The sequence below is a fragment of the Homo sapiens genome, chromosome 9 (assembly GCF_000001405.40).
Source record: "Homo sapiens chromosome 9, GRCh38.p14 Primary Assembly".
Classification (NCBI taxonomy): Eukaryota; Metazoa; Chordata; class Mammalia; order Primates; family Hominidae; genus Homo; species Homo sapiens.
Genome location: NC_000009.12, coordinates 21,499,424 through 21,512,445, shown reverse-complemented (window position 1 = coordinate 21,512,445; position 13,022 = coordinate 21,499,424). Strand labels below are relative to the sequence as shown.

At 36.6% G+C, this 13,022-nt stretch overlaps 1 long non-coding RNA gene and 1 other non-coding gene across 5 annotated transcripts in view, besides 1 other annotated feature; both read left to right on the top strand.

Moving 5' to 3' along the window:
* The window catches only part of MIR31HG (MIR31 host gene), a 105,531-nt gene that overhangs the window by 47,353 nt on the left and 45,156 nt on the right, over positions 1-13,022 (top strand). The gene's annotated exons all lie outside the window — the stretch shown is intronic.
* Positions 261-331, top strand: MIR31 (microRNA 31). The gene has a single exon (NR_029505.1). It is a non-coding gene; the product is annotated as a microRNA 31 (primary transcript).
* Positions 7,069-7,604: an enhancer, noted in NCBI's record as "NANOG hESC enhancer chr9:21504841-21505376 (GRCh37/hg19 assembly coordinates)". NCBI's record gives its function as "activates a minimal SCP1, AML or CMV promoter by ChIP-STARR-seq in naive H9 embryonic stem cells {active_cell/tissue: H9 hESC(naive)}" and the evidence as "EXISTENCE:reporter gene assay evidence [ECO:0000049][PMID:30033119]".

The window sequence follows — 13,022 nt, the reverse complement described above, 5'->3', positions numbered from 1 at the left end:
CTGTGGTTTCACAAGTAGTCCATAAACATTCTCGAGGTTCATTTTAGATCAAAGACCATTAAAAAAATGGAACTACCCACAAACCTCCTGTGCCTAACTACATCTTCAAAAGCGGACACTCTAAGGAAGACTATGTTGTTATGATCAGAAATAAGTGCGCTTTCAATTAATGAGTGTGTTTTCCCTCCCTCAGGTGAAAGGAAAAATTTTGGAAAAGTAAAACACTGAAGAGTCATAGTATTCTCCTGTAACTTGGAACTGGAGAGGAGGCAAGATGCTGGCATAGCTGTTGAACTGGGAACCTGCTATGCCAACATATTGCCATCTTTCCTGTCTGACAGCAGCCATGGCCACCTGCATGCCAGTCCTTCGTGTATTGCTGTGTATGTGCGCCCTTCCTTGGATGTGGATTTCCATGACATGGCCTTTCTCACCTTCCTTACTTCCTGTCCTGCTATGTATTGTGTCCTACCATGAATTCACTCCATGCTAGCCACATTGGCCTGTATGGCTATTCCTTGGACACACCTAGGATGTTCTTGCCTCTTAGCTTGCCTACCTTTCTCTCATCATTTGGGCCTCAGCGAGGATATCATCTCCTCAGAGAAGCCTTCTGTGACCATGCTATCTAAAATACTCCAGCACTTCAGTCACCCTTTATCCCATTACTCTGCTTTTTCAGAAACATTGGTGCTCCCTGAAACGTATTTGTTTACTTGCTTAGTGTCTTTTCTCCCGCACTACCATGTAAGCTTCTTGAGGGTTAGGGACCTTGTTAGGGATAACCACTGTATCCTTAGAGTGTGACACATAGTAGGTTCTCAATACATATTTTTGAAACTCTACCCTGATGCAAAAGAGATATCAAATAATTATAGTTTTTGCATTATAAATGTCTTTGGTGAAATCCCTGGCACAAAACTAATAATAAAGAAATAAACAGATAATGTTGAGTTCTGGGCCTGCAAACCTAACTCTTTAAAGCAGTCACAGTAAATGTGTCATTGGATCCATAGACTTGTGGAAGTCAGCATATTTTATTGGGAAAAGCATGAGCTTCAAAGTAAAACTTATGGTCAAATCTCATTACTGGTGCGTTCTTAAGTCATTTAACCTCTGAGCCACAGTTTACACAAATGTAAAATTAGAGTAATAATAGTGACTCCATAGGACCCTCAAGATAAGGAAATAAGGTATTTTAGTCAGATGATTCTTATCACATGTCTAAAAATTTAGTGTCTCTAAAATTCTTGATATATGCATACCAGTAGACACTCAACACATTTATTTCACTACTAAGAAAAAAGTTTTCTTTAGTTAGAGACAAGGGATTTTATGTGAAATGTGTGGAAATTCTATGCCAGAACGATAGTACATGTAGAATTCTTTGTAAAGATAGAAATCTTGAGAGACCAAGGAGTTAATTGTCAAGGATCTCAAGTTCTTCTCCTGGTTAGTTCACATTCCTCATCTTCCTTTGTTTCTGGAGTTACTCATTATCTGTAGATCTCTTTTAAAAGTGGTTTTTACACATTCACTTTAAAGAGTAAGAATGTTCAGTAAATACAATTGTATTTTAATGTTTAATAAATACTAATGTTTAATAAATACTGTTTGATGTTTCATGTTTTTAAGCATTGAAGTTTTAATAAAAAGCTTTGCTTTTAATAAATAAAATTTCATGTTAATTTTAATGCTTTTCCAAGAAATAAAGTAGCAGTCACTATTCTCGATTGTCATTATTTATTATTACTCAGGGTATTAAAACATACAGAAAGATCACATTATACCTTCATTTCATGCCTCTTGGAGTATATTAAACTAAGCTGCTAATTTAACAAAAATGTGTAGCACAAAAGTGAGGTAGTTTTAGTCTACAACTTTTATAAGCATCTCTTTATATAAGGATAATTTGTTTAAAGACATCATTGTACAAGCTGATCTTGCCTATGAAGGCTTTTAAGAACTCACAAAACAGCTTTAGCTGAAAATTAGATTCACAGTGCCTTATCCATTCGTTATATTAATGGTAATTTGTTGCAGGGTCAATTGGCCAGGACATACAGTTTATTACAAGAACTGGTTTATTTATTTTACCTATAACTTAGTTTTAAAAACTTGTTTCATCAGTTTATTTGGGCTTCTTTTGCCTTTTGCAGAGTTCCATGTACCCTCATCTACATCAGTTACAGACATATCCAGTGCCCCCTTGACCTCAATGTAGTTGATGAGCTGGGTTCCATGTGTGGAAATGAACATTGCTTGCCAAGCGCCATCCTCCATAGCTGAAACGTGTTTTACTCTAATTACTAAACACCTGAAGCTTCTTTTTTGATTCGAAGTGAACAATGTTTGTGGGGAGAAACCCAAACCCCTAAAACTTCAGATTTAGGAACATCAGTGTAAGAGACTAAAATAATAATTAATATTCTGAAGTGTCCAATAACTTCTTGAAGTCAGTGGTTTTTAAACTTCATTGTTGTATTATCACCTAGAGAGCTTGTTTAAAAATGCAGATTCCCAAACCATTCCCTAGACATTCTATTTAATGCATCTTGACTGAGACTTCAAATCTTCATTTTTAATAAGCATCCTCCTATTGATTCTGATCCAGCTTGACAACTGTGCTTTGAGGCCGGGTGTGGTGGCTCACGCCTGTAATCCCAGCACTTTGGGAGGCTGAGGCAGGTGGATCACCTGAGGTCAGGAGTTCGAGACCAGCCAGGCCAACACAGTGAAACCCCGTCTCTACTAAAAATAGAAAAATTAGCCAGGTGCAATGGCACGCGCCTGTAATCCCAGCTACTTGGGAGGCTGAGGCAGGAGAATTGCTTGAGCCAGTGAGGTGGAGGTTGCGGTGAGCTGAGATCACGCCACTGTACTCTAGCGTGGGTGACAGAGCGAGACTCCATCTCAAGAATATGTATATATATATGTATACATATTCTCTAGAATATATATATGTGTGTGTGTGTATATATATACTGTCCTAAGTCTTATACAATTCCCAGTATAGAACTTGGTCGTGGTCTTAAATGCAGCCTGCTTTCCGACTGTATCTGTGCTTATGAAAAACTGGAAAAAGGCTTTGTAATTGTCCTTCTTACACTGAGCCTTACATAAACAGCCTTATAACTATTCACAGGAGCACTCACTGCACCATGTATGGGGTGATGGTGATACGCTTCCACAGAGTTTTTAACTTCAATGCTTTTTTTCTCCATTGGCTCATATTATAATTTTCAAGATGTTTTCTTTTCTTTTCTGATTGCCTTGATACTGACCCAAATCCTTTACCTCTAAATATTCTTTCTCTAGGATTTTTGTCAAATTGTAAATGATATATGAGCTCTTTTCGGCTACAGACTAGGTCGAATTATGCAGAAGGAATTTTCAAGATTTTTAGGACTCTTACTGTGATAAGTCTTTCTGTAAACTAAAGGATCATATCTTGAGCTATTTCTTATTTTTGCAGATTTTAAAAAATTTGAGATGTCTTTTCCTTTATGAGGTAGTGTAGTGTAGTAGTAGGAGTGTCAGAATGAAATGCACAAAGATCTGGGTCCTAGTCCCATTTCTGCCATTTTGTAACCATGTACATGAGTTGGGGCAGATCGTTTAATCTGTTTTCTTATTTGTAAATTGGGGGTAATAGTAGAAGAGATTATATGGTGTATTAGAAAAGAGGGAAAAGCAAAATACAGCTGTGAAAACTATGTAAGCAAATTGGAAGACAATTTATAAAAAAAGTTGGGTTTTTTTAGTAATTGTATTTAAATTTATTTCAGTGTTTTATTGTTTTATGTTGTTTTTGTCTAACTTAAATGTGAGAAAAAAAGCAGAGTTCTGGATAGAAGGCAGATAACCTTTGTTCTCATCCAACCTGAAGCACTTATTTGCTAAATAATTCCAGTCAAAAACAGAAGAAACGTGGTATTTTAGTTTTATCTTGAGGAAAGGTCCTGCTTCTCTTACTCTATCTAAAAGCCTAGAAATAAAATGATAATTATTCTATGACTCATATACTTGCTTTTTATGTTATTGGCTTATTATGAGACTCAAATCAGGTAAGGTATATAAAACTGCTTTGAGAATGGTAAGAAGCTGTACAAATAAAAGTTCTAAGATATGGCTTATAAATTCTTTTCAACCCTCCGTTTTTCCTTTCACTCCTACAAAAGTTTGCTTTTGAAATGATTAAAATTTTTAAAAAATTAAAATATTTTATTCTAAGCCTGGCTATACTGTTTTAATTTGTAGGATTTTAATCGTTTACCATTGTATTTGTAGCAGCTAGACTGATAGGAGATTTGTGTTGTTGAGTCCATCCCCTTTCAGGTATCTCATCTAGGAATGCAGAAGCAGAAAGGTAGGGCAGACTGGCTGGATCCACTAGAATGGATTTCCTACTGAATCAATACTTGTCTCAAAACCATATTAAAGCGAGGAACAGTGGCATGCACCTATAATCCCAGCTACTTGGGAGGCTGAGGTGGGAGGATGGCTGCATCCCAGGAATTAAGGCCAGCCTGAGTAACATAGCAAGACCCTGTCTTGTAAAACAAACAAAACCAAAGCATTAAAACCAAAGTACTTTTAGTTTTCACTGAAACCTACATGATGTTCTTATTTCTATATAATGTTTTGTATATTAATATACATTAGAAAAATACACAGCATCTCCTTTTAAAAGTAAATTTGTTTTAATATTTTTAAAATTAATTTAAATAAAATGTTAAGGCATTTATAGTCAAGGAATATGACAAAAATTGTGAAAGTGCTGCTCAAGTAGCCAAACTTTGGGAAATCTAATTGGAATGTGGGTAAGCAAGATCCTCCTGTCGCGTAGCTGGGGGAGACTTTATAGATAACACGTTAGATGTTACCTAAGGTTTCTTGAATGCATGGTTCAGTTTAAGAAGTATGTTTAGTTATTACTCTTGGATGAAGAAAATATTAGTTTTAAGTGAGTGTTAATGGACTTTGCCCATGAACTGCATACATGGTCATATATTTTTACTGTTAAGAATTACTGATATGTCCCAGATGTAAAGATCATAGTTTTTATGTCCTTGAGAGCAAAGCCCAGTTGGTAAATGATAAGAAAGTTCATTATAAGTTCATTAGTCAATCTGAGTAAGTATTTGAGTAAGTATCAGGGCAGGTGTGTGTCCTTATTTGAAGATAAGATTACCAAAGAGTGGCAGTTTACACTGTCTGAGCAGGCACATAATCTACATGTATCCAACAAAAGCAGAAACCCTTTCTGTCAATAAAGTTAATTTGATAAGTTTAGGAGTCAAAATCTGGAAGTCCAAAAAGATGCATAGTGAGGAGAATCATCAAGCATGCATGAGGAAACCAACTGGGATGGCATTACAGGAAAATGATGTAGTTACTTGGAAGCAAGCCACCTTCGTGGTTTGCATTCTTTGGAAATATGTTCTATCTAATTGCTGAACTTTGCAAAAAAATGAGTGATTTGACTTGCTGATTCCAAGTTAATTACTTGGCCATTGAAAGTTTTTATAGAAGAGCATTCATGGAATTTGTGTGACCCAGAATGATCCCTGCCTGTGTTTTCTCACCTGCCTTTCTTCTTGCAAACCTTTCCTGATTTGTAAAACGTGTATAAGAAACTCAAATATTGGACTTTGGAGACTTGTCATAAAAAATTGTGTTGAGCTATTGCAGGATCTTGGAGAGACAGAGGTTATCTTGGGAAGGAGATCCAGGTCTAGTGTACTTGAAAAAACAATCGGTACTTGAGAATGAAAAAGAGGTAAAAAAAACAAAGGAAGCAAATATAATTGGCGGTAAGGTCACAAATCCAATAATAAGAGAAAGCCCATATATTAAAATTGAAATATTAGAGTCTATAGATGCATATTTCCCTAAATGTAACACATTCAAAGTTATTACATGGTGCTTATAATTATTTTGAATTAGATAACTCTTCTCTGCATCATTACCTGAATTGAATATAAAAGTTCTAGCAGTTTTATTAGAAGCACAGAAAGCCTTTTCCTGACTTCCTGTGCCATGACCTAGATTTTTTCAGTTATTTATTCATCATTCAGTATTTATTCAGCACCTCCCATGTACCATACATAGTCCGTACCTTTCTATGACTTGCAGTCTAAGAAAAAAGATAACCATTGCAAGTTTGATTATTATGGCGAAGGACTTTCTTGTTTGTGTATGGAAACATAACAAAGACACCTAATTTAGACAGGAAGTGGTAAAGGAAAACCACTTTAAGGAAGAAATATTATTTAAGTTCAGGCAAAAAAAAAAAAAAAAAAAAAGGGGGGGTCGCGGGGCAGGGGAAGAGTATCCCAGACAGCATATGTGAGAGCTGTGAAGCTAGAAATCTTGGCACATCAACAACTGACATGTCTGGAGTGTTGAGAATAGCGGTGAAAAGAGGAAATGGGGTGCGCAATACACGGACGGGGCCCAACACAGGTCTCCTAAGCCTTATGAAAAGTACAAGTAATATCATAAGTTAGATGAGGGGCCATTGAAGGATTTAATGTCACTGTCTCATGAAACAAAACTTTTTTCTTGGATATTCACATTCTCTCCACAGGTTTATTCACTTCTGCCCTCTCGTGTATCTAAAAATTAAACTTCCCTGGATGCTGTCACTCCTCTTTGTTACTGGCCCATCCATCATATTCTCTTTGTGCCCTAACTTCTAGCAAAAAGAGCTAATATTTATTGCATCTGTTTCTTCATGACCCGTTACAATCTATCCTCTGTTCTCATAATTAGATTGGAACTGCTGCTTCCAAAGGTGAGGTGTTCATGACTGAATCATCAGCGAACCCAGTAGTCACTCGCATTGTTGACCATTAGTTCCCTCAAGGCTCCCTTTTTGATGTTCATGGCACTACTCTTATTCATCACATTTCTAACAACTGTCTTCTCAGTCTTCTCTCTGACTAGTCACTGAATTCACCCTTCCTCTTAAAGCAGATTTTCAATAGTTTTCCAATCTTTTAAATCTTGATTTCTCTTTCTTCCTAGGGCATCTGTATCTACCATTTGGTTTTCAGCTCTTACACACACTGAAGATGTGCTACCTAACATTTTTAGTCCAGACTTCTCTGCTTTACTGCAGTTTTGCATTTTCTAGCTGCTTTTTAAATCCCCCCAAATGGCTGTGCCATTTGTACCACAAACTCAATCCTTAGAAAACCAGAATCCTACTGCAATCTAAATGGCTTCTTGTCTTATCTTGGTTAAAAGCTTTGCCAAGCATTCACATTGGGAACCTGAATGTTACCTTTCATTTTTTTTCTCACCTACTCTCACACCTCCTCCCCCCATCTAATCATGTGTCAAATCCTGTTGACTACATCTCTGCAGTGTCTCTCAGGTAGTCACTGCTTCCCATTACTGCTGCCATTGCCTTTGTTCATACCCAGCTCACAAGCAGCCAGCTTAAAATCTTCTAATTCATCTCCCAGCCTCTATTTCCTGCCTTTCTCCCAATCTGAACCTGTTTTCCATGTCTGCTAGAGTTATCCTCCTAAAACATACATTTGATGATCTTAGTGTCTTGCTTTTTTACTTAATAAAGTCATAACTCCTTAGCCTTATAATTAATGTGCTCCACAAATTTGCACCAAACCATTTTTCCTCTTGCATCTCCCAGGTACCTGTGCCCTAACCAAAGCAGACTGTTCTAAAAATCTAACACACATTTACATCGTCATGCCATTTTGTGTATTTTTCCATGTTTCTCTTTTTACTGAAGAACTGCCCATCCCATAATGCCCAGTGAAGATTACATTTCTTTGATGAAATCTTCCCTGATCCTCTTAAATAAAATTGTTTTTTTCCTATGTGTCCCAAAAGCATTGTATGTGATTCAATCATATAAAGCATTTGTTTCTGTAAAACATCATTGTGCACCTGCCGTGTTTAAAGGGCAGAATTTATTCTTCAGCTTATTCGTGGTTGTGAGGGAGAAAAAAGAGATCCTCCTCTAAGTATTGTTTGAAGATAGAGTGCATGTCTTCTCTGTATATTTTTATCTTCACAGTATCTAGTACAAAACCTTGCACATATAACACATTTGTTGAATATCTGTCATAGCAATTATCATTTGTTCTGTTTCATATACAAAGTACTTCCAAGGAGTCAGCTTTTAAGGTGTAAACACACACACACACAGACACACACGCACACACACACACACAATGCTGCAGTTGCTTTCAATAAATGAGGACATATTTCTCTGCTCAGGCTTTCCAGCAGTGCTTTATTATATAAGCTATTCTGGTTAGCTCTATTTTATGGATCAGATGCTTGCCCTGGCTACCTTGAGGAGAAGGGGTCCAGTGTAAGAATTTGTAAGGCCTGGGACCAGATGATGTCAGGAACCAAAGCAGCTTTAAGGGTATGCTCTTTTCCTCACCTGTCATTTTCTTTATGACTATGCTCAATGCTTCCCTGCTCCCCTCTGAGAGTCTTTTTCACTTTATCTTTTTTTTACTCGTTTTTCTCTTACCATAGACTTGTCTTAGAGAGAATTGTATGGGTACCATCATCTGTCTCTACTTCATGACCTTTCAGCTTCACCTCCCACCGTTAATTGTAGCAGTCTTTACCTGTCCCAGTTACAGTTCCCAAGAGAGAAACTGATGGGCCCAGTTCTCCTTTTGGACCAGTCCTCATTATAGGTTTCTCGCATAGGCAGCCCTTTGGTCATATATACCACCTCTGGTCCAACCACCTCCAGCCTGCTACACAACGTGGCTGGCTCAGTCATAGGAATTATGAATGGGGTAGTTCCTCTTCATAAGGGATGTGAGCCTTTTCTGCCTACACTCACCAAATGCCATCACTGGATAGAAGTATTTATATATCTAAGTACACTTAAAAAATTTGAATTATTTTCCTACTCTCATATCTTAACAGAACTTCCACAAACACTAAAATAGTTGTATTGATTTAAAAAATTATGACCCCAATTATTGATTCTCTCTTTTTCATAATGTGCCTTGTCCTTCAAGCCACACACTTAACAAGATTTAGGATTGCTAACATTCGAAAAAGTCTTAAATTTTAAAGATTCTTTTTCTTTATTCTTCCTCACCTTTTCTAAATAGAGCCCATGTAAATTCCCAACATTTCGTGTTTGCCCTCTCTTTTACTATCTCTTATTTTATTGCTTCCAATAATTTTAGATGAACTCTGGAGAAGATGTGAGGCTGAGTCTCTTCACTTTGCGCTCAACTTTAGGTCAAGTTCTTTTGACACACCACAAATGGATTTTATGTTCAGTGATTTGCTGAGTGAAGAAGTTAGAGAAGCCATGAAAATAAAAAGGATTTCTCTAGATTAAAGTCATCCAGTCTAATAGTCTGTGAAATTTCCAAGATTTTTCAACTTTGATTTCATTCCTAAGTTATGTAATACCAAATATCTCAGTAAATCATTTTATACCTATAGCATGAATATCCCATTTCTAATTTAATCTCATCTTTTGCTTGTCTTCATGTGCTCCTGAAAACAGCCTTTTATGGCTGTACCCAGAATCAGTTTAGCATTCCTTTATCCTAGTCTTCTTTAATTTTTTAAACATTAATGGACTGTTTTTAAAAGTAGTAATCAAGCAGCATGCTGATAATGCAAAGTCTTCCATGGCATTTCTCTTGCCTTTAGCTAATATTTGTAATTCTTTGTTAATATGTTTTGGTATGTGTGTTTTTTTCTGCAGCTGTTAGGACATGGCAAAATTACAGTTGAGTCTAAAAACTAGCAACTTCTTGTTCTTCTCAGGAAAGCCAAGAAAAACGATATAATGAAACATTAAAACCAATCTCTAAGGAATCAAATGTGGAATATCTAGGTTTCAGTGCTATCATTGGTAGGCACTCAGTAAATATTTGTTAAAATGACTGACAGAATTTTTATTAAGTGAATAGAATTTATGATCATTTCAAACCCTTACAATCTAGGTTTCAAAGGCAAAGCAAGTAGGTAAAAATCAAGTTTCTTTTTGGAGACACATAAGGCACAACTAATGACAGCACTGACTTCCCGAAAAGTCTCGAAGTTAATTGTGTATCACTCACTAGAACGTCATCCTTTGAAAAGACAGCCAACGACATCCACATTGCCTTGCATGCAATGCCCTACATTTCCACGGACCACATCCAGTGTCCTCATTTCTGTTTGAGGCCCAGGGGAAGCATGCCTGGTCTTTCTCTTTATTTCACAGCTTGAAATTACCCATCTGCCAATAGATCAATAGTATTAGTCTATTGTCTTGTAACTTCTTTAAGGGAAAGAACATCTAGGAGTCATGGTGCTTTTAACAGAACACGATGAAGTATTGCTATGACAACCTTAATTGTATATTATAGGCAAATCAGATACCACCTTGAGAAGACAAGATAAACAATTGCCTGCACTAATGGCTTAAGACAAATTTATGAGAAAAAAATGCTTATAATTTAGAAAGCTGTATCCATTAACTTGTGTATGAATTGGAAAATGCCTGCTTTTATTTAATTTTAGCAGTAAAGCACCTAGCTTCAACTTGCAAAATATTTGTTCCATTAAATCTGAGAACCAATGATCTTAGTGATTTACCTCCTGATAATTAAACAAAATGACAAATTAATCTATTGTAAAGTCTAATGTAAAATTTTTTAGACTTTCAGAAAATGTATCACTGCTTTTTTATTTTAAGAAAGTGCTTGTGTCTGTATTTATATCTCAACAAATTATAAAATGCTCTGTACCTATTGCCTCTCTTTTAATGCCCTTGGCTTCCTACCACACTTATCCTGTACCATGCACATATGTACATTTTCCTTTCACCATCAGTATGTAACTTTCTAGTTATAACCAGATATGTTAATGAGAAATAGACATTAATTAGAAGTGGAAAAGTTCAATTTTACTAATCTAAACTTAAACACTATAGTGTTCAGTCTTATATTTAAGAAAATAATCACTGTTTTTTTACTGTCTGGGATGGTGATGTGAAAGCCAAAATAATGCGGAGTTATGATTCAAAATTACACCCTTTTAAAAGTCCATGTGATGCAACCTCAAAGTCTTGAAGTACCACAATACTTGGTATCTAGGCACTCAATCCTAAATAATAGCTGTCTGGCAACTATTTCATAGTGTCTGTTTTCTGCCTTCCATAATAGAATTTGTTTTTTTTAATGCTTTTTTCTGTTTGGTACATAAATATGTATGTTGATGGTTCAGAAAGAAAAAAACAACTCTGAGGGCCTCAGAAACTGAAGTAATTAAACCATTTTGAAAATTATCGGTGCACCTCTAGCCAGGAGTTGATTCATTTCAGGGAGATCTTAATCTTGTCCTGACCTTCAGAATGGATGAGATGAGTAGGAAGAAGCTCAGTTCATATTCCCAAGGCAAATGAATAGTTTCATTATATGACCTGACTGTATCTACAGCACAGACTCAGTGACAAAGAGGACATTTGTTTCTGTGTGTTAAGATGTTTTTAAGAACCTTTATTCCTGCCCCAAACAGGAGAACTGTTGAACTGTCACCACACAGGATGCTTATCAAAGACACTGACATCTTTCCAGCCTTCTTCACCTGTGCCCCAATTGCTACCTGTTGTTGGGTGTGTGTTACCACTTCCAAGCCATCTTCTCTTGAATTTCAAGAGAAGCCACTCTGAGCAGCAGTCTCTCAGTTTCACGACTTTAGAATGACCTCTTTCATTTTGCATTTATACGTGACCAAAGGTGGCTCAGATTGGGTTTCCCAGCTTCCTAGGTTAGTCAAAGTGAAGTTTGACACCGAGAGATGGGGTCAAGCTAGGGTGCCCTCAGGAAGTTAATCAGGAAGATTAATTGGCCCAATATTTAAGTGTAATTAAGCCCAGAAAAAATTGAAATTGTATCTAAGTACATCTGTCTAACACTCTTCCCTCTTTGTACCCCAGGCACACCAGTTTTAGTCTTTATAATGAGCTTTACAGATCTAATATTACACTTTTAATTAAGATTTTTTTAAGCAGCAATATCTTGTCTTAGTTTTAGCTGATTTATTTAGAAAGTACCTTGTTTGAGATGGCAATTCTTATGTTAGCCCACAAGCGTATTTTTACCTGGCATTCAGATGAACTTGGGTTTCTGGCATAGCATTCTATAGGTCATTTGGATAGCCTCCCATCTGGTCTTTTGATACCACTTGCACCAATCTCAGTATTTCCTGTAACCATTTTAGACCGTAGCCTTCACACATCCTTTTGGTCCTGGCTGTTGACTGTGCCAAGAAAAATGTGTAACCAGGTAGTTAGACTTCGTTGCTCAGCAAACTCATTAATCTCTGGACCAGGTCAGGCACCAGTCTTCATATCTGATTTTTGGTAGTTACACAAAGTAAGCAGAATTGATTTTAGACAACTCCGTCATTTGGTAATTGCTTAGAGCCTTGAGAAATGTAGGCCAGATTAAGAAGGCAAAGGGCAAAGGTTCCAGTTCTTTAATATTATATCGTCTTCTCGTTTATTTTTCTCTTTGCTCTACCAAGGAGTGAAGTCAACTGAGTTCTTCTCAAAACTCAGATTAATGAATTCCAAATGTGACAAAAACCCTGTGAGGTTACAATGACTTCGCTGGTGTTTGTCTCTTTTAATCTTTCAAATATTTCTTCAGGAAAGGAAGAAGTGACAAGTCTAAACTGAAGAAGTTGACATCAGAGGGCCAGTGGAATGGAATCTTAGTTCAGTTCCCACAAAAGGAGGATTTCTTGGTACCAAGAGATAAAATAAATATGAATTGGGGGGCTGGGGCAGGACTTCAAAGGGTCAGAGAATAAATAAATATTAAATTACTAATGTCTTTACTAGGCAATTTATACATGTTATCTTCTTTAGTCCTTATAATTACTCTGCAAGTTAATCATCAGCATTCCTCTTTTACAGAAATGGAGCCTTACTAAAAAGTTAACTCTCTTCCCAAGCACTGTACATTTGGTAGGCTAGATTTCAGAGCCACTATTATCTTAGT